This window comes from Homo sapiens, chromosome 9, assembly GCF_000001405.40.
Source record: "Homo sapiens chromosome 9, GRCh38.p14 Primary Assembly".
NCBI classification, from domain to species: Eukaryota; Metazoa; Chordata; class Mammalia; order Primates; family Hominidae; genus Homo; species Homo sapiens.
This window is the reverse complement of record NC_000009.12, coordinates 42,267,811-42,290,025: the sequence shown is the minus strand read 5'-3', so window position 1 is coordinate 42,290,025 and position 22,215 is coordinate 42,267,811. Positions and strand designations below refer to the sequence as shown.

The 22,215-nt window shown below is 44.3% G+C and overlaps 3 annotated features.

Annotated features, from left to right (window-relative positions):
• Positions 710 to 1,329: an enhancer, noted in NCBI's record as "H3K4me1 hESC enhancer chr9:43525073-43525692 (GRCh37/hg19 assembly coordinates)". NCBI's record gives its function as "activates a minimal SCP1, AML or CMV promoter by ChIP-STARR-seq in naive H9 embryonic stem cells {active_cell/tissue: H9 hESC(naive)}" and the evidence as "EXISTENCE:reporter gene assay evidence [ECO:0000049][PMID:30033119]".
• Positions 1,330 to 1,949: an enhancer, noted in NCBI's record as "H3K4me1 hESC enhancer chr9:43525693-43526312 (GRCh37/hg19 assembly coordinates)". NCBI's record gives its function as "activates a minimal SCP1, AML or CMV promoter by ChIP-STARR-seq in naive H9 embryonic stem cells {active_cell/tissue: H9 hESC(naive)}" and the evidence as "EXISTENCE:reporter gene assay evidence [ECO:0000049][PMID:30033119]".
• Positions 18,850 to 19,350: an enhancer, noted in NCBI's record as "H3K4me1 hESC enhancer chr9:43543213-43543713 (GRCh37/hg19 assembly coordinates)". NCBI's record gives its function as "activates a minimal SCP1, AML or CMV promoter by ChIP-STARR-seq in naive H9 embryonic stem cells {active_cell/tissue: H9 hESC(naive)}" and the evidence as "EXISTENCE:reporter gene assay evidence [ECO:0000049][PMID:30033119]".

The window sequence follows — 22,215 nt, the reverse complement described above, 5'->3', positions numbered from 1 at the left end:
CACCCAGGCTGGAGTACCGTGGCCCGATCTTGGCTCACTGCGACCTCCACCTCCTGGGTTCAAGCGACTCTCCTGCCTCAGCCTCCCGAGTAGCTGGAATTACAGGCACCCGCCACCACGCCCAGCTAATTTTTGTATTTTTAGTAGAGATGGGGTTTCATCATGTTGGCCAAGCTGGTCTCGAACTCCTGACCTCAGGTGATCCGCCCTCCTCAGCCTCCCAAAGTGCTGGGATTACAGTCATGAGCCACTGCGCCCGGCCCGGCCTGGAAATCTTATCTAAAAAGTAGCAACTGCTGGAAAAAGGGCCTGGGGCCTGGGGGGCGGGGGTGGTTCTTGTCACAGCCCCCAGGCTCCTGTCTCAGGGATGAATGTGGCCTTCTCACTGGGATTCTTCTCTTGTCCAAAAGGGCTGCTTTTGGGGACTAACAATACTGGGGAGTGGGGGTGAAGCCAGACCTAGCTCAGGGTGAGGATTTCGGGGCCCTGGCGTACTGAACACACCCCACACCCCAACATTCTCCTCCTTCTATCTCTTCCTCTTCTCCCGACCGCTTTTGTGCCGGGGCTGCGAGCTCCCTGTGTTGTGCGGTGACTAAATCGAGGCCGAGAAGGGAGGCTGCCCCCCAACCCTGTGGGTCAGTGCCCCTCTGCCAGGCTAGGAGAAAGTGGGTTTACAGCAGCCGAGCTGGGGGTTATTTTGGCTGGAGCTGCTGGAGCAGAAAGGCAGGAGTCTGAAATGCTCGGCAGGGTCTGGGGACCTTGTTGGACCCGCCTGGTGACCGGCTGGGCTGTCGCGTCCTACACGGGAGCTCCGGGCTTTCATTTCTCTTGTGGTGGGGTGGGGATTAACTCAGCTATTCCCATGGTAAGCCTGGGTCTCTAATTGGGCCCTGGGAGCCCTGTTAGGCCACCGGCATTGGGGGTCGGTGAGGAAGGGGACTCCCCAACTCCCCCGACTCCCAACCGCCCCACCTCCGCATAGCCTTGGAGACCCCTGGGGGAGGGGGCTGGGGGGCTTCTGAGCCCCTGAGTCTAGGTTCACTCTCCCGTCGGGCTGTGGGAGGGGACTTTCACTTGCCTTTGTCTTTGGGGACGGGACCCCACTTTCTTCTGATCTCAGGGCCATTGACACACACCCCCTTTCCAGGAGGGGTTGGTGGGCAGCTAGGTTCTCCCTGCCCCTTCCCGGGGCCGGCACCGTAGCAGCACAATCACCCCGGGAAGGGGGTGTCTTTTCGCTCCAAGACGCAATCGGGCCCCACTCGCAGAACCGCCTGGACCCTGTCCGTGTCTGCCCTCCGGCCCCCAGGGCTCCTCTCCCCAGAGCCGCCGTCCCGCGCCTGGGTCCCGCGCTGGGGGAAGCGCCTGCTGCTTATCTCTGTCTACCTCAGGTCTGACTTTTGATGCCAAAATCTAAGCCCCTGGGGTGCCTCTCCCCCGCCTCCCGTGCACCAGGGTCTGCAGCAGCCACTGGGGCCAGGCTGCCTGCTGCATCTGGCGGCCCTGGAGGCGGCCATGGGCCCCTTTGCACCCGCCCGCCTTGGTGTCTGGGGAGGGGCTGCGCAGGGCCGTGGGCTGGGTCGTCTCTCTCGGGCTGCGTGTGTTGCGCTCCCGTGTGCACGTGTGTGTGTCGGGAATCCTGCGTGTCGTGCCTGTGTGGGCGATCCGGCCCCCTGGCTGTGGGTGGGACTGGATTCTAACTCAGGGGACTTGGGCCTGCTGTTAACTTCGATGATTGTAGGGACAGGTGGGGCGGGCGGTGGGTGGGCACGGGGCTGGGTCCTGGGCGGCCTGGCGACTCCAGGAGAAGGAAATCACTGAAGGCAGTGGTCGTGGAAATGGGAGGGGGTCGCAGGGGGTCTGTGGGGCCCGGTCCTGGATACTGGGCAGGAAGCCGTGGTCTCCAGAGGGTACTCCCTGCCTCAGGTGGCCCCATTCAACCCCAGCCGTACGCACCTCCCGCCACTGCCTGTCGGTGGGGGTTTAAAGTTGGGGTGGCTTTCTGGGGTGCAGCTCAGCATCCCCTCTTATGCAGACTGGGATGGGGTCGGGCACCTCCCTCAGCCACGAGGACCCTGGACGGGTTCGAGTTCTCTTGGGGCCGTGGGGCTAGCTGTGTACTGGGCGGGGACCCCACACTCGAGGCCAAGGGGGGGCTCTCCCTGCTGTGAGATGTTGGGGGACAGGCAGCTTCTGGAACCTTCAGTGGGACCCTTAAGTGGCCGTCAGGACAGGCGGGAGGATGGGCATGGGGCACTGGGGAGAGCCGGGGTCGTTAAGGGTCACGCATCTGTACAGTCTGAATTTCCTTTATCTTTTTTTTTTTTTACCCACTTTGTCCCTCTTTTCCCCTAATTGTGCTCTTGCATTTTTTTTTTCTTGGCAAACGTAAACTCAGCCTTTCATTCATGACGTGTGACATTTCAGTTTCTCTGGGGTTTGTCAGAGGACGCGGGGACCACGCCTGAAAGTTAGGTAATGGGAGAAAAAAAATAATAGACTTTAAAAAAATAAAAAATAAAAGAATCATAAAACTACTCTCTACCTCTGGCTGGGCCCAGCCTTTCTTGCCCTGGCCGCAGCAGGGTGGCCTGTAACAATTTCAGTTTTGCAGAACATCCAGGTATTGAAAGGAAAAAAAATAAAAAAAGACAAAAAGACCAGAAAAAAGGTGTGATTTTGAAATTTAAAAGAACACTGAAAGTTTACATTTTATAATAGCATTATTATGCAGATTGTATTTTAACTTCAGAAATATTTAAGACGATTGTAACCCTGTAAAGCTGATAAGATATTAAAACGAGACAAAACACTTCTTTTAACAGGAAAAAAAAAAAGAAATTTCTTCTGTCAGATAACCTAAATCATCTCTCTCAAGTTCAAAGTTCCACAAATCTCTAGGGCAGGGGCAAAATGCTGCCAGTCTCTTTGCTAAAACATAACAAGAGTCACTTTTGCTCCAGTTCCCAACAAGTTGCTCATCTCCATCTGAGACCACCTCAGCCTGGCCCTTATTGTTCATATCACTATCAGCTTTTTTTGTCAAAGCCATTCAACAAATCTCTGGGAAGTTTCAAACTTTCCCACATTTTCCTGTCTTCTTCTGAGCCCTCTAAACTGTTCCAACCTCTGCCTTTTACCCAGTTCCAAAATTGCTTCTGCATTTTTGGGTGTCTTTTCAGCAGCACTCCACTCTACTGGTACCAATTTACTGTATTAGTCTGTTTTCACGCTGCTTATAAAGACATACCCAAGACTGGGCAATTTACAAAAGAAAGGTTTATTGGACTTAACAGTTTCATGTGGCTGGGAAAGCCTTGCAACCCTGGCAGAAGGCAAGGAGGAGCAAGTCACGTCTTACGTGGATGGCAGCAGGCAAAAAGACAGAGAGCTTGTGCTTTATTTTAATTTTTGTTGTGCATATATGTGTATGTATGTATTTATTTTTTTTTATTTTAAGTTCTGGGATACATGTGCAGAACATGGAGTTTCGTTACATAGGTATACATGTCTCATGATGTTTTGCTTCACCTATCAACCTGTCATCTAGGTTTTTAAGCCCTGCATGCATTAGGTATTTATTCTAATGCTCTCCCTCCCCTTTCCCCCAACCACGACAGGCCCTGGTGTGTGATGTTCCCCTCCCTGTGTCCATGAGGAACTCCTCTTTTTAAAACCATCAGATAGTGTAAGACTTATTCACTATCACGATAACAGCCTGGGAAAGATTTGCCCCCATGATTCAATTACCTCCCACCAGGTCTCTCCCACAAAATATGGGAATTCAAGATGAGATTTCGGTGGGGACACAGCCAAACCATATCAAGTCCCTAGAGTGAGTAGGTGGGTGGAGCTTATAATTACTGGATTGGAAGCTCATCAATATCTTTTAAGATTTATATGCCATAATTTGTCCAGCATCTGAGTACTTTGTAGCATGAAATGCTTCATGTTACAATGAAGTATTAGTCTCACATATTATAGGCGCTGTCTTCATTTTCTGTTGCTGCATAATGAATTACCACAAATTCTGCTGCTTAAAATAATACGAATCTATTATCTCACAGTTTTAGTTGCCTGGGCACAACAATTTAGGTGTTGTCTGAGGTAACTTAGGGTTTCTGAGTCATATTCCTCATTTTCTTCTGTCTTTCTTCCACTGCCTAATTATGAAGCCACTCCTAGTCTCAATTATAAAATCTGTCTTTGTTTTCTGTTGCTGTACTGCCAATTACTACAAATTTAGCAGGTTCCAACTAAGCCATTTATAAATTCATAGTTTTGTAGGATAGAAATCTGGTGTGGTGAGGCCAGTTGCAGTGGCTCACACCTGTAATCCTAGCAATTTGGGAGGCCAAGGCGGGTGGATCTCCTGAGGTCAGGAGTTCAAGACCAGCCTGGCCAAAGTGGTGAAACCCTATCTCTACTAAAAATACAAAAATCAGCTGGGCGTGGTGGCGGGTGCCTGTAATCCCAGGTACTTGGGAGGCTGAGGTAGGAGAATTGCATGAACCCAGGAGGCGGAGGTTGCAGTGAGCTGAGATCGTGCCATTGCACTCCAGCCTGGGCAACAAGAGTGAAACTCTGTCTCAAAAAAAAAAAAAAAGAAAGAAAGAAAAAAAAAAGAAATCTGGTGTCGCTTGCTTGGGTTCTCTGCTCATCATCTCACAAATCTGAAATCAAACTGCTGTGGGCTGTTTTCATCTGGAGGACTGAGCAAGGAAGAATCTGCTTCCAGCTTATCAGCACAATTGAGAGAATCCAATTCCTTGTGGTTGTAGGACTGGGATCCTGTTTGCTCACTGGCTGTCCACTGAGGCCACTGTCACATCCTAGAGGATACTGTATTCCTTCAAAACTGCAATAGCATGTCAAATTCTTCTTGTGTTTTGAATCTCTGACTTCCTTTTTTGACATCAGCTGGAGAAAATTTTCTGCTTTGTAAGGACTCATATGATTAGAAAAATCTCCCCATGTTAGGGTCCATCCAGATAATCTCCTTATCAATGAATCAGGACCTTAATTACATCTGCAAAATCTCTCCACAGCAGTATCTATATCAGTGTTTGAAAAACTGGGAGTAGGTGTGTATACAATAGGGTAAAAAATATTGGCCATGGGCAGTGGGAGGAGGTATCTTATAATTCTGTCTACTATAAACAAGTTGTTTCCTAAAATTTTCTCTTGAGTTGATTTAATACTATATTATTTTATTTTGAGGGGGGCAAAAGATATATAAAGTATTACAAATATTAATTTACTCAATGTAAATTTGGAGTGCCATTAATTGTTCCTCATGGCCTAAAAGGCTTAAAGCCCTGATAATAATCTCATTATAATAAACAACTTTGCAATACACTGAATTGGTCCACTGACCTTTGTTTCAATTCATATGTCTTCAAAAATTCATCCCTCAATGTAAACAATCATAATAGTCTCGACAGTCCAGAAAAATGGTGTAAATGGTGTACAAACTTCAAGAAGAGCTGTGTGTGTCTTTGTGTGTGTTTGTGTGTGATCACAAAACCTAGATATATGTTAACATGAAATATTATGGAAGAAAATTAATTTAAGGAAGTGAGGTGGAAATGCAAACACAGAAACCAAAAGATGGAACTGTCCCCACAAATTTTAGAAATAGATTGTGTTCTAAACATCAAATAAAATCAAGCCATAGAAAGGAAGAAAATCTTAAATACACAAGTAAAATTTGCTGTTTTTCTCTCAGTCTCTATTTATTTTGTTTTCCACATGCTTTAAGTTGATCATTGTTTCCTTTACTCAGCAATGCAGAAGAGATGAGTGATAGGAAGAAATTACCATGGCAAATCATGAATAGACTGATAACAGCTAGTGACTACTTTGCAAGTAGTTATTTGAAACTACTTGCAAAGTAGACCGGGTAAAAATTTATATAACAAAATGCAAAAATTGAGTAATTAACCGCTGAGTTATAAGAATTTGACTTAACCCTGATAATTCCTGTTGAACAAGGACATTGCGTGTTCTTCTATTAATTCCTTAATCATGACTTGTAGGTTGAAAATGAGAAATGCTTCTTCTTGATAGATAAAGCACAGATCTTATAGCAACAAGAGGAAAGAACTATGGGCCAAATTTTCTTAGCTATGCTTGAAGTAAACTTTGACAACTAATCACTTTTTATTTTATTTAAGAATTCCCAACCAGGAGTAAAAGTCCAAACCTGACTTATAAGGCATATAATTTAAAAAATAATACTGTGAAATAACTTAATACAAATAACAAAATGTTGAAGGTAGGCATGTTAAATCCACACTATCAGATTGGGTTTTAAAGAGAAGGAGAGGAGACATCAAGCATTTAGAAATCAATAGGAAAAAGATTGTTCTATTTTTATACCATAATGCAAAGGAGGCAGAGTGATTTTAAGAACACTGAAGTTAAAAGCAATTAACTTGGTAAAATAAAATATAGGTAGGTAGATAATCAGATATATGTAAAAACAAACTTCAAAAATTATTTTAACATCATAATTTTAGATAAATTGAATCAGTGGCTTATTCTTGAAGGTATAGTAGCAAATGAGATGACTGTTAAGTAACTATCAAACAACTTTTTGTTTGACATAGTTGAAGTCAGTACCATCTGTGTGCAAGAGACACCGTTCCTATCACACAGATAGCATGGGAAACACCTGCCTGCATGATTCAATTACCTCACACCAGGTCCCTCCCACAACAAGTAGAAATTCAAGATGAGATTTGGGTGGGTGTGAGAAATCTACTCATCCATCCAAACCCAAAGAATGGACTTAGAGGCATGAAGAACAGCGAAAGTGAGACTTAATAATGGTCTTGCAAGATTGGGTGTCTGGTAGGTAGGTACATCTGGGGCAGTCACAACAAGTAATTTATCTTCCAGTACGCAAGTCCCTCCCCAAGTTCCTCATTGGTTGAGTGCTATGGGGTTACAATTTTCCTGGATGTCACCTAAGTTTCATTATCCCCCTTATAAGGTTATATCCCGGTCCTCTTTCTTGCTTGTTTCAATTTCCCAATAATGAAACTTTTTTCCCTTTTATGGGCTAACCCCTCCTTTTCATTGTTTGCTTACTGTGACCTTCTAGGTGCATGAGCAGTGCGGTTTGTTAAATTTGCAGGCTGGCTTCCAGTACTTTTGATTTATCATGCCTTGAAAATGGACCATTTAAAATGGTTTCTCATAAATTCCCTCCTCTTTTCTATTTACTTCCTTCGGTCTTCTTTTTATTTAAGCCCTTTTGGTCTTTGAATCACTGGGGACACAGCCAAACCATATCAGCATTTAAACACTGTTTCCTTATTATGTAATCTGGATAATAAAACTCGCTCTTTCTATATTATGCCACATAAAATGGAAGTATAGATGTGACACTGTCATTAAATCTGTGAATTATATGTCATTATGTTTCTAAAACACATAAATCGTAGTGAAGTTATTCCATCTCAGAGACGGCCCATTTAACTATAATAAACTTCTAGGTATTCATTATATAGTGTATTTTTTATCATCAAATCACTGATCAGATATTTTCCTTAATGATTTATTCTTCCATTTGACAAATAGATTTTGGGGCAAGTTCTTTGTTAGGTGTTGGCGTGATAGCAGTGAAGAAAATTCAGCACTCGGGGACCCTGCTGTCTAATTGGGAAGAGCACATCGGGGGACACACAGACATGGGAACGTGCAGGGTTTTTAGAACTGAGAGACCCAATTGAGGCTCTCAGCAAAGTCATTTTTCAGGAAGTGGCATTTAAGCTGAGACCTAAATGATGATTTGTAGTTTGCCAGGAAAGAAATCCAGAGAGGGGGAGGGGAGACCACATAAGCAAAGACCTTGTGTCAGGAAAGAACTTTATACCAGAGACGAATGGAGGATGAGAGTGGAAGTCAGAAAGGCAGGGGCTAGGCCCGGTGCGGTGGCTCACGCCTGTAATCCTAGCACTTTGGGAGGCCGAGGCGGGCAGATCACAAGGTCATGAGATCGAGACCATCCTGGCTAACGTGGTGAAACCCCGTCTCTACTAAAAATACAAAAAAATTAGCCGGGCGTAGTGGTGGGCGCCTGTAGTCCCAGCTACTCGGGAGACTGAGGGAGGAGAATGGCGTGAACCCGGGAGGCGGAGCTTGCAGTGAGCCGAGATGGCGCCACTGCACTCCAGCTTGGGTGACAGAGCGAGACTCCATCTCACAAAAAAAAAAAAAAAAAAAAAAAAAGGCGGGGGCTAAGTCACTGAGGCCTGAGGCTGCACAGGGAGCTGGATGGTGTCTTTGGAGGAAACGAAGACAAAGAGGTTCAAAGCTGCTTAAAGGTCTTGCAGGAAAGTGATAAAGTCAGATTTGCATCTTTTGAAAGGTCATGTTAGCATCTTTTAAAAGGTCATTTATAGGAGTCTGCCCCAGTACTGCACTGCATATGCCACATTGATTAATGGCAAACACCACTTGGGCCCTATTTCTTGCACATCGAACTTGTAATACAGCATGCTCTGTCATGATGGGGACAGTACGAGATAGTTCATTATGGGAAGACATGAGAACCTCCTTTATCTTGAACATGAGATGGAGATGTGGAGATGTCAGGAAAATTAACAGAAAGCAAGCGACTTCTTTACTGAGATCTGGAGAATGAAAAGAATCAGGTAGTAAGGAAATGATAGGTGGGTGTAAAGGGAATGTGGCAGGTGTCTGAGGTGGTGTGGGCAGAGCCCATGAAGCTAGAAAAATCATTCTTGTTCAGAGCGAAAATTGATTCAGTGTTTCTGAATAGTTGAATATTCTGCTCCATGAACTGCTTCCGAGTCTGGAAGGGGCATGGAATATGAGATGACATTGAAGATCAACTCGGGCATAAAGAATTTGGGATTTAATCCACAGGCAAGGAGGAGCTCTTACAGTATCTGAGGGGCACATTTAAGAGCAAGACAGATTATTTTTCAGAGAATCTGCTGTACATTTTGGAAGGATACCCCTGACTGCAGTGTGATTCCAACATGAAGGGACTTGAGGCAGGTGGCGTACATAGGATGCAGAAACTTATGCCAAGGATGATGGCACCCTAAGCAAGATGCCAGCCATCCAGACAGAGAAAAGTGGGCACACTCAAAATGTATTAAGAATGTGGCATCCACAGGGCTTAGAGTGCCACTGAGCGTCAACAGTCTGGAATATGTGTTTTAGCAACTGATAGGATGTTGCTGTCAAGATAGGGGGCGCTAGAGAATAAGACAGCTTTGGACGAGAACAAAGGAGGTAATACTGGTTTCAAATAGACTGAGTATTGCACGCCTGTAATCCGGGCACTTTGGGAGGCCGAGGGTGGGGGTAGATCACCTGACGTCAGGAGTTCGAGACCAGCCTGGCCAATATGGTGAAACCCCGTCTCTACTAAAAATACAAAAATTAGCCAAGCACGGAGGCAGCTCACCTGTAATCCCAGCTACTCTGAGGCTGAGGCAGGAGAATCGCTAGAACCCAGGAGACAGAAGTTGCAAAGGTTGCAGTGAGCCAAGATTGTGTCACTGCACTCCAGCCTGGGTGATTCCGTCTCAAACAAACAAACAAATAGACTGAGTATTAATGGTCCGTGGCTCATGCAAGTGGAGGTGTCTGGTTAGCAGTTTGATATGAAAGACTGAGCTCCAGAGAGATCTCATAACTTGGGAATATGTTTTACTCCATACATATTCAGGTAAGACTAAAGATCCTGGGATTTTGGAGTCATGGGGGAAAGTGATATTATTCCTGAGCACTTGCTAGGAACTATCCCCAGGTTGCCTCAGGACCAGCCCCTCTCGCTACAGTAACCCCATAAAGCAGTGCCTACACTTTACATTTTACGGGTTCGAAACCAGCTCAGTGGGACTTAGTTAACCGCCCACAGTCAAGTGTCAGCATCAAAACTGGAGTCTCACCCAAAGCCAGCTGACCCCAAAGCTCACACTCCTGTAAGATGTAATTGCTCAAGAGATCTTAGACCTCACCTGATCCAATCTCTTTTCTTTCCCCGCTGAGACGGAGTCTTGCTCTGTCACCCAGGCTGGAGTGCAGTGGCGTGATCTTGGCTCACTGCAACCTCCACCTCCCGGGTTCAAGCGATTCTCCTGCCTTGGCCTCCCGAGTAGCTGGGGCTACAGGTGTGTGCCACCACACCTGGCTAATTTTTTTTTTTTTGTATTTTTAGTACAGACGGGGTTTCACCGTGTTAGCCAGGATGGTCTCAGTCTCCCGACCTTGTGATCTGTCCGCCTCGGCCTCCCAAAGCGTTGGGATTACTGGTGTGAGCCACCGTGCCCGGCCTCCTCGTTTTCTTTAACAGATGTTTTTGGTTAAAACTCCTGAGTTGATTTGTTTTCATTACTCAAAGCATAATACAGCAACGATAATTAAGAACAAAGGCTCCAGAGCCTTACAAAGCTCCCTGCTCACTGAACGTGGGCTCTGGGTGAAACCCCTTAACCTCATTGTGCCTGAGTTTCCTCATCTGGAAAATTATGAGTTCTCACTTCAGAGAGATGCACTGAGTGTGCATGCACAATAAGTGCTGTTTTATTTTTATTAATGTACATATTTGTAGACCACAAATGCATTTTTATAAAAGTTTCAAACAATGTCTAAGTTTAGCTAATAAATTTCTCTAAACACACCTGTGTTGTCTGGCTGCATTCTAGCATCAATGGAATATTACTTTATGCATTATTATCTGACTTCCTTTCTTCTCTCATGTCATTTCTGTCTTGGTGATCTCTCCGTGTCACGCCGTAGCTAGGTTTCTCTCCTACTTTCTCACAGCTGCACCCTGCTAGATAGCAAGGATTCAGAATGATTTTTCTATCCCTCACTGATAACATTCTAGAGAGTTGTCAGGTTTTTAGAAATTATTATTACAAACAGTGCCGCAGTAAACATTCTACTACATATTAGGGGGATGTTTTGTCCTTATTTGAGAATTTCTGTAAGAAAAATGCCTATGTTCTAACACCGGATGTAAAACATATACATAGATTACGCTAGAGCAAGAGGTTCATATACTGAGTGTTTCTAAAATATTTTTTGATTTAATAGTTTATTACTTTCATTGTATAACTGTACATGCTCCAAGTACATTCTACAGGAAAATCTCAAACACTTCAGGAAAGCAGTAAACATTACCATAATGTGATAAAATTGGTATTTTATTAATTTTAAATTATATTTCTAACACATAAGCCATATTACCCTTGACAAGGTACTCTCGTTAGGAGTCAGACAAATTTATGAATGTGTGCAATCTCTATTCTATTTCTGTCTAGGACTATATTTCTTTAAAAACTAGTAGCTCACATTCTTAGGAAACTAAGATAGAGAAAAGAATAGAGGTTTTCAAGTTGGAAGATCTTAATCAGTGTGGTTTTTAAAGTTTCACCTTATTAAGTTGAATGAACAATGGGAGATCACAGTATCAATTATTCAAAAGTGATTAATGCAGGTTAAATGCCAACAGGCTGGAAGAGCACGTAAATGCATCGCTAACCTCTTAGCAACTATAAAGATTTGTTTGTTTACATATTTCACCATATGGATATCATTGAACTCTTCAGCCTTATAATGGATATTTTGTGAATAAAATATTATTTTGCAAGAAATAAAAAATAGTGTTTGTCTTTTAGCATTGCACGGTTGAGGCTACATTTACTCAATAGTTCAAAACAGGTAATTTAGTGCTAGGAATATCATCTCCCCTGAGCATAGCTGCAATATGCTCTATACACAGGGAACTATCTGTTTTAAGATTTGGTATAATGGGGCCCGGCTCAGTGGCTCACGCCTGTGATCCCAGCACTTTGGGAGGCTGAGGTGGGCGGATCACCTGAGGTCAGGATTTTGAGACCATCCTGGCCAACATTGTAACACCCCATCTCTACTAAAAATACAAAAAATTAGCCGGGCATAGTGGGGCACGCCTGTAGTCTCAGCTACTTGGGAGACCAAAGCAGGTGAATCGCTTGAACCTGGGAGGCGGAAGTTGCAGTGAGCCGAGAATGTGCCACTGCACTCCAGCCTGGGCAACACAGTGAGACTCTGTCTCAATAAACAAACAAACAAACAAACAAAGAATAAATTAAAAAGATTTCATATAATGGGGCAGCTGCTTTTAACTGGAATGCAATAAATCCTCACATACTTTCGAAAGACTGACTTTGGTGAGATAGCATGCTAGGCATAGAGAGACAGGGACCTCACTTTCAGGACTGTCACAACTCAGTGCCTGACACAGGCATGTAGGCAAACCTCATGCTGGGAAGTTCAGAAAAGGGAGGAAAGAACGTGTGGCGAAGGAGGCCAGGAAACACTCCATCTTACAGCTCTGTAAATCAGAGGTCTGCCACAGTCTTTCTGGGCTAACGTCTGTGCGTCAGTCGGACTATCATAGACTCAACATTCTTTAAAGACCTGAAATTGCAAATTATTTTATTTCCTGGAGCAAAACCAGGTGCCCATCACCCATCCATCACCCAACACACATACACTTCTTTTGCAAATTGCTACAGTTACAACAAAGTTGTGGTCAATTTGCAGTAACAATTAAAGATGTCCATAGGTGTGAAGAGCTGAGGTAAGGAAAGTCACATTCTCCTTATATGAGCCTGACTCACAAAGGACTTACTGTGAAGGAAGGTGAGAGAGTCCTGGAGAGGCTACATGAGATTGCTGAGCCCTTTCAGAACCCACTTCTCAGGCATTGCTGGTTGCATGAGGTTACAGTTTATTGGACCTGCCCCATTACCTGGTGGAGCGACCTGTGCATCTCTTCGAATCTCCCAGAAAGAGATTTGGGCTCATGGGGCCTGAGGGCCTGAGAGGCTGCTCCATAAGAGCTCAGTCTTCGCAACTCACTTCAGGCGCTACTATGGACACTATGGAGCACTTCTTTTTTTGTTGCTGTTGAGTTTTGCTCTGTCACCCAGGCTGCAGTGCAGTGGTGCAACCTCAGCTCACTGCAACCTCCACCTCCTGGGTTCAAGCGATTCTCGTGCCTCAGCCTCCTGAGTAGCTGGGATTACAGGCATATGCCACCACACCCAGCTAATTTTCATTTGTTTTTTTTTTTATTTGTTTGTTTTTTTGAGACGGAGTCTTGCTCTGTCGCCCAGGCTGGAGTGCAGTGGCGTGATCTCGGGTCTCTGCAAGCTCTGCCTCTCCGGTTCACACCATTCTCCTGCCTCAGCCTCCCGAGTAGCTGGGACTACAGATGCCTGTCACCAAGCCCGGCTAATTCTTTTTTGTATTTTTAGTAGAGACGGGGTTTCACCATGTTAGCCAGGATGGTCTCAATCTCCTGACCTCACGATCCACCTGCCTCGGCCTCCCATAGTGCTGGGATTACAGGCGTGAGCCATCGCGCCTGGCCAATTTTCATACTTTTAGCAGAGATGGGGTTTCACTGTGTTGGCCAGGCTGGTCTTGAACTCCTGACCTCAGGTGATCTGCCCACCTCGGCCTCCCAAAGTGCTGCAATTACAGGCATGAGCCACCATGCCCAGGCACTATGGAGCACTTCTAAGGACTTTTGGGCTTTGGAGAATACCAACCTAGCAGAAATGGTTCCTTTTGGAAAGGACATTGGATGACATCAAATGCTCAGCATAAAGTATATGCTTTGGGTACCTGTCACTCTTCTAGGTGACCCTCATGAAAATTGTATGAGGAAGTTATTGTGGAGAAGCGATGAGGCAGGGTCATAGAGAGAACAGGGACTAAGAGGGTGCAAGAAGTTGGGGAAGTTGCAGAGCTAGGTGACAGAGGAGCAGAGCAGAAGAAAAAGCCTCGGTGTTGGGAGAAAACATGAAGAAAAAATAAGTTTTGTGCTTGGTCCTATGATATGAACTGCCTGATGCTGGTGGCATGAGGGAAGGTTGCTTTAGCTATAAAGGTACAACATCCATCAATATTCCACAGTACTCCACATTGCCTTTCTCCAAGCACTCTCCAGAGAAACAGACACCACTCATCAGTGGGAGAAAACTGAACCATTTTGTAGAAGAATCTCCAATTATAAAGAGTAAATGAATGGATCCTTTTTATACCTCAGACTCCTGACCACATTGCATCTCGACAATGATGCACCTTGTCATCATTGTCATGTGACAGTTTTTGAATCTGGTGTTTTTCTTTCTGCAATAGTAAGGCCAATCCTGCAGGGACCGAAGTCTGTGCAATCACTGTGAAACACAGCTGGAAATAAGGCAGGAAGAACTTACAGAGCTCAAACGTGCCCATCAGAATATTTTGAAACATAAGTTACAGTATAGGAATTCTCCCCTAAAGTCTCCAAACTGGAGTGAGAACAGCTGAATTACTTTCATAATACAAAAACATTCACAGAATCTCTATGAAATTATGAAAATTAAATTCTAAGGTGCATTTTCATAAATGAGGTGGTTGCTGTGTTTATTTTCTGTTGCTGCAAATTTTGCCACAGACTCACTGGCTTAAAATGATGTGCATTTATTATGTCATATGTCTCCCGATCCGTGGGAGTCTGCCTGGGGTCTCGTGAGGTTGGATTCAAGATGTTGCCTGGATACATTCTCATCTTGGAGGCTCGGCCAGGGAAAGAGCTGCTTCCAAGACCCCTCAGGTTATCAGCAGAATTTGTTTCCTTGTGATTGTATAACTCAGTACGCACCATCTTCCTAGCTGCCAGCTGCGGACCCCTCTCAGCTTCCAGAGATTCCTCTCAAGGCCTCCCCACGCGGCCTGTCATCTCAGCAGCAGAGAAACTCTCGCATCTTCAACTCTCTCAGGCTTCTCACCTCTCTGACTTCTTCAAAGCTCTGATTAAGTCAGGTGCACCTCTGATTAAGTCAATGCATTCAAATAATATCCCTATCTTAGGGACAATTGTGCCATACAAATGACCTAATTACAGGAGTCAAACACATTATATTCATGGTTCCCGGGGTTAGGCAGTGTTTGTATGCCAGGTGGATGGGATATCGCCTTGGGAGCGCCATCTTTAGAATCCTGCCTACCACAAATCCCAATTCTATAACACAAAAGGCCTGAGGGCTTCAGCACTATCACAGCAGGAGGTATAAGTTTCCCAGATACCCAAAGGTATCCGCTGTCTGTCTCCACCTAACATCCCATGTTCATACCAGGTGGTGAAAAATCCACTCGTCATCCATACCATTCAGAAGCATACAGCCTGGATTTTGTCATTCTAGTTCTTGTCACTGTGTGTTTGAGCACATACTAGCTAGAGAAGCTCTTTCATCATCAGCTCTACACAGTGCAATCCTCAAAATGCCCACCGTTATCCAGAGGTTACCAATCTCTCTCTTTTAATTACACTTAAACTAGCAGAAATCTTCTTCATATCATTAACCCAAATGGAGAAAAGAAAGCTAGAAAATTATACATCTATTTTTCCACCAAAAGAAAAGAAAAAGAACATTTTCCTCCCACATTTATTGTGCCTTCAAGTGGTTATAGCAACCTGTTAAGATCAGCCAGTGTCGTTAAACTGCTTCCCAGCGAATACAGCCAGTGAAGCTGAAAGAGATAATAAAGTTTCTTAGGAGACCGACTACTACACTGGCTTGACACTTGCTCCATACAGAAGAAAAAATAAATCAGTAGTTACACCTCCAGCAGCTACTGACTAGACATCCTTGCGTTAAGGGTGGAAATTCAATATACAAAGAAGCAAAGTGTTGACAATAAAAAGAAAGTAAAAACTGAAAGAAAATTGTAATTGGATTGAATGTGGCTAAAATCAAGATATGAAAAAGCAGAAAACAAAGCCAATTCAAACTCTGAAGAAAGAATAAATGAGAAAATAAATGAAAAAAATTAATTGGCTCAGCAAGTCATGACTAGAAAAAATTAACATTATTAAATTATTCTACCTTCGGGCATGGAATAAAATGAAGATGTAAGTATTCATGTTAATTTCAGTCTATTTCTGAATGGTAAATTGCTTTCTCCTTCTTCCTCTTTGTATGTTTAGGTCTGGGAAATTTGTTTGGAATTAGCAACCTGGGATGAGGTTTATTAAGACAGAATGACTATGAGCTTGCCTGCAAAGTGGCCGCTCCTTTCTTCCCTTCTTTTCCATCAGGTCATTCGCCCACTGAGAGGTGGTATCTATTTCTGTACCCCCATGAATCTGCATTTGCAGATTCCAAGATTAGGACATAAGAAGCTTTTTAGCTTTTGCCTGGGTCTCGTGGAATGCAGGGGAATCTGGGGAAAGCCAAGCTCTCTACAAAAACTCTGACTAGCCCAAGACTGTCATACTGTGAGGAACCTCAAGCTTGTCACATGGAGAGGCTGTGTGGAGACCAAGTTACCTGACCAGCTCCTAGCTCTTCAATCCATAGCATTCCAGGTGCCAGGTATAGAGGTGCAGAAGCTTTCTGACAGCTTCAGCCTTGTCTGCCATCTGAGGTGCCACAAGTGAGAACTAATCTGGAGTAATCAACATCACCATCCCCTGCCATGAAATCAATGCAGTGTGTTCATTCACTAAATTAGGAGGCAGCTTGTTCTATGCAGTGGTACAGAACAGGAACAATGATGCTTAGGGCTGGGGTATGGGTTGTGAGGGAAGAAATTCCATGTCAGCAAAACTTCAGAGCATACTACATCTTCTGTTTGTTTGTTTGTTTGTTTGTTTTTGAGACAGAGTCTTGCTCTGTCACCCAGGCTGGAGTGCAGTGGCACAATCCTGACTCACTGCAAGCTCTGCCTCCTGGGTTCATGCCATTCTCCTGCCTCCTGAGTAGCTGGGACTACAGGTGCCAGCCACCACGCCCAGCTAATTTTTTGTATTTTTAGTAGAGACGGGGTTTCACCATGTTAGCCAGGATGGTCTCGATCTCCTGACCTCGTGATCCGCCCACCTCGGCCTCCCAAAGTGCTGGGATTACAGGCATGAGCCACTGTGCCTGGCGAGCATATGAAATCTTAAAGGTCACGCAGCTGAATTTCTGAGCTTACGAAAAGGAAACCAGGTACTCAAAGAAGCTGTGACCTGCCAAAAGTCACCCAGCAAATTAATAGTGGAACCAAAGTAAAAATCAAATTTTCAGCATGTAATGTCCTTACACCACGTAAAAAAGGTTTGGGTTCCTTAGTTTGAGAAACGTCAATACCCCTTCATAAATCAAGGGTATAAACTTTGCAGAAAAATTAAACTTCTTACCACCTGGCATCCAAACTGGAGTGAGAACAGCTTTGCCACATCTACATTCCCACTCCTACTCAGAAGACAGACTCCAAGAAGCATAAAACTTCTGGAGTCCTGGGGTAACCTGAGCAAAACCCGTGATAGGTTTCCAGGAAGCAAGGGCGTGAGCAGGGGTGGAGACTGAAGCCCCATCCCTGCAAGGGTCCACTCTGAACCTCAAGGCCCATAATCCTCCCCCATATTTCTCTGCTCTGCCATTTTTGGGTGCTCTGTCAAGTCCCAAACCCCTCAGTAAGTCTGTCTTTTCTTCTACTCTAAGCACCTCTATTCTTCTAGCTCACCCTTTCACTGTGGTCCTGCCTTCCAGCTCTTTCCTTCTGTGCCCTCTGGGAACTCATTACATTTTCAAAAAGGACTATCTCAACATCATCACAGAATGCCCTTGTATAGCATAGCGTTTGAGAGTATGGCTTGGAAGCAACAGTCTGGATTTCTAATGCAGACTCCACCATTTACCAGTCACAAACCTTAACAAGTCACTTAATGTCTCTGAACTTCAGTATCTTCCACTGTAAAATGAAGGTATCCATTGTGAAGATTAAATAAGATGATGCCCATAAAATGCACAGGCTAATGCCTGGCACACACAAAAAATAATAAAACAACAAAAAAAGGGTTGACTATACATCCTCAACTCCACTGAAGCCTAGACCACCATTTTCAATGCCCTTGTAGAACTCATTACTTCCATAGTTTGTCTACCATAGCATCAGGAAACATTTCTGGTAAATTTCCATCAATTCCTGGTCACTGGTGTTCATAAAAAGCAGCAAGTAGGCTAGGCGCCGTGGCTCAAGCCTGCAATCCCAGCACTTTGGGAGGCCGAGGCGGGCGGATCATGAGGTCAGGAGATTGAGACCATCCTGGCTAACACGGTGAAACCCCGTCTCTACTAAAAATACAAAAAAAAAAATTAGCCAGGCTTGGTGGCGGGCGCCTGTAGTCCCAGCTACTCAGGAGGCTGATGCAGGAGAATGGCGTGAACCTGGGAGGCGGAGCTTGCAGTGAGCCGAGATCGGGCCACTGCACTCCAGCCTGGGCGATGCAGCAAGACTCAGTCTCAAAAAAAAAAAAAAAAAAAAAAGCAAGCAAGCAAACAAAATGACAATCTCACTTATCCTTTTAGACAAATATCAGCTGATTACAGCAACCTCTACCATTTCTAGCAAGTGTCATCTTCCAAATGGGTCATTTTCTTACATCCATCACCATCTTCTCAATTCCTCAATCTTCAATTTCCTTGTAGATGACACTTAAGTGCTAGGAACTTGCAATTCCTTCATGTGTAAATGATCTTCACTGTTGCTCCTTTTCAGCACCCATGCCATGGACGTACTTGGAACTTCTCATGACCTAGGATGGTACCATCTTTTTTTTTTTGAGACGGAGTCTCACTCTGTCACCCAGGCTGGAGTGCAGTGGCGCAATCTAGGCTCACTGCAAGCTCCGCCTCCCGGGTTCTCGCCATTCTCCTGCCTCAGCCTCCTGAGTAGCTGGGACTACAGACGCCCACCACCACGCCCGGCTAATTTTTTTTTTTGTATTTTTAGTAGAGACGGGGTTTCACCGCGTTATCCAGGATGGTCTCGATCTCTTGACCTCGTGATCAGCCTGCCTTGACCTCACAAAGTGCTGGAATTACTGGCGTGAGCCACCGTGCCCAGCCAGGATGGTACTATCTTTAAGGATTTTTTTTTTTTTTTTAGACGGAGTCTAGCTCTGTTGCCAGGCTGGAGTGCAGTGGTGTGATCTCGGCTCACTGCAACCTCCGCCTACTGGGTTCACGCCATTCTCCTGCCTCAGCCTACCAAGTAGCTGGGACTACAGACGCCCGCCACCACGCCCGGCTAATTTTTTGTATTTTTAGTAGAGACGGGGTTTCACTGTGTTAGCCAGGATGGTCTCGATCTCCTGACCTTGTGATCCGCCCACCTCGGCCTCCCAAAGTGCTGGGATTACAGGCTTGAGCCACTGCACCTGGCCGCATACTTTTTAAAATAATAAATTATCCAATACTATCTAACTATGGAGACTATCATTGGGTTCATTCATAAGATATAGTGACCTTAACCCCATTCATTCAAACCATATCAGATTCTCTTTTTTTAGTGCATTGAAACATTATTCTTTGCCAACCTTCTGTATTGATAAACATCAGGATGGCACCAAAAATCTAAAATATGCAATTCTATAAAATGTGGCAGTTGTAAATGTGAATTTGGTGGGAACTTAATACCTGAACCATTATTTCCTCAGTTGGCAAAGTGAAGTTGTTTCCTCTTCTTTATGAGATTGCAGCAGAAACATGCAATTTAAAAAGCAAGAGAGAATTAGGGATCACTCAGGCCCAACTCGATTCCACCATAACCCTCATTTTTCAACCAAAGTAAAAGAATCTCATGCATGTTGCGTGACTAGCTGTTGGAGATGTTCTTGTTAGGACCCCTTCATGAGTAGTACCATGTCTTCTGGCTCTCGGCCTGCTGCTCTGTCCACATGACATAGAAGAGTCACAACAAGGTGACAGACAGTCACAAGTGCTGCAAAATCATTGAACAAATGAACAACTGTGGGTTCCTTTTCAGTTACTAGCAAAACATAGGTGCAAAACTAAAATTGTTATATTTATATTTATACCATTAATAAATGTTATAAGGTTATAAACATCATACAATGTATGAGGGATTCCTGTCATCTTTCTTATAAACCCACTGTATAGATGCTTTCCCGCACATGCTGTTCTATCAGAGACCCTTTTCCTGTTTCTGCCTGCCTTCTTGATCTCATCCAAAAGGTCAGAAGAGTCTGGCTCTCACCTGCAGGTTCAGGGAAGCCCCAGTAGCACACTCATGGCTTTCTACTCTCTCCTATTCTCCACTGCAACTTAAAGATCCTTCACATCTTACCTCAAGACAACAACTCCATGGTCACGGCAAAGCATTAAGTATAACTACTATATATTTTTTACAAATATACTTTAAATTATCTCATATCAATGAAAAGAAACACATATATGGAGTAAAAAAAAAAAAAGTCATTCACTTCACACCACTGGCTCTCTCACTTGGGGATCAGGGAACACTAATTTCTTGAAGATCCTTCCAGAAATAATCCTGTACCTTTATATGCATGTATATGTATAAATCTTATTTGGAAATTTCAACTGAGAACATATTTTGGGGTTCCCACGACTACATCATGGTCATGATTTGCTCAGTGATTCACCGGAAGGACTCATGTAAGTCAAAAAGTTATGCTTACAGCTAAGATATATTACTGCAAAGGATACTGTGCAGGAACTGTGAGACACATATTTTGCATGCATAAGCAAAGACTAGAGAGGTCAGGCCCAGGTTTCCACGTTCCTTCTCTCGCGAGAATTGTGCAGACACGCCCTTTCTGGCTGCAAACTGTGGAGATGTGTGGCAGGCATCTCCACCTCAGAAAGTCCGCTCATTAGTGACCAGCCTGCCCAACATGGTGAAATCCCGTCTCTTCTAAACATACAAAAAATTAGCCGGGCGTGATGACGGGCACCTGTAATCCCAGCTACTAGGGAGGCTGAGGCAGGAGAATTGCTTGAATCCGGGAGGCTGAGCTTGCAGTGAGCCGAGATTGCGCCATTGCACTCCAGCCTGGGCGACCAGAGCGAAACTCTGTCTCAAACAAACAACAAAAAAAGTCCACTCAAATCTCAGAATCCAGAGTTCTTAAAGGCTGCTGATCACACAGCTACCCAACCAGCCAAGTTGCAGATGCCAAACAGGCACCAGGTACACATCATTAATTTTCATGTTTAAACAATGCTGTCAGCCCAGTACATCCTGACCCACTGCCTGGGCCATAGAGAATACAATCTTAATCACTGACCAAGCGAACATTCCTGTCGTTAGTTCTCTTCCTGTGGCTCCAAGCTTTCCCAGAGATTAAAAAGAGCTGAGTAAAACAAACCTACTGTAGTCACTTTTTATGCACGGAGCACAATATGCACACTATTCTGTATTTTGCCTTTTTAAAAAGCAATATATATTAACGTTATCAGTAAATATGACCTTATTTTTTCATGGCTGCTTGTTATTCTGGGGCATGGAGGCACTATTATTTGCTTAGTCAGCCACCTATTGCTGGAGAACTGGACCTGTACTATTTCACTGTTATAAAAATTGATACAATTAACATCTCCATTTAGCGGGGGATATGAGTATTTCTCATAAGAATCACCATTTAGAAAAGAATGAATATGGCCGGTCTTGGTGGCTCATGCCTGTAATCCTAGCACTTTGGGAGGCCAAAGCAGGCGGATCACAAGGTCAGGAGTTCAAGACCAGCCTGGCCAATATGGTGAAACTAAAAAAAAAAAATAAAAAAAAAAAATAGCCGGGCATGGTGGCAGGCGCCTGTAGTCCCAGCTACTCAGGAGGCTGAAGCAAGAGAATCGCTTGAACCAGGGAAGTGGAGGTTGCAGTGAGCCAAGATTGCACCACTGTACTCCAGCCTGGGTGACAAGCAAGACTCCATCTCAAAAAAAAAAAAAAAAAAAAAGAAGAAAAGAAAAGAATGAATATGAAAGTGGACTTATAGTAACCCACCAGCCTCCTTGTGGATTGCCTTCTTCCACTCAGAAAAGTTGCCATTTATTTATTTGTATGACATTGCCAATTATCCCTCTTGTGTTATTTTTAAAATTTTCCCACCAGCCGTCTAAATGACTGTCACCTACTCCCCACACCCTAAGGCAGCAATTTCTGATTTGGAACCATGGGAATTTCACTTTCACAATTTCATCTGCCAACATGCAATAACATCTGTCTCTATGCTGATGTGGTTGTTCATCTGGGCCTGGGTTTAAATCTCTGTACCACCTTAACTAGCAAAGTGACATTATGCAACTGACAATCTCTTGTGATTTTTCTGTGAATTAATTGAATATTTACGTGTAACACACCAAGTGTTCT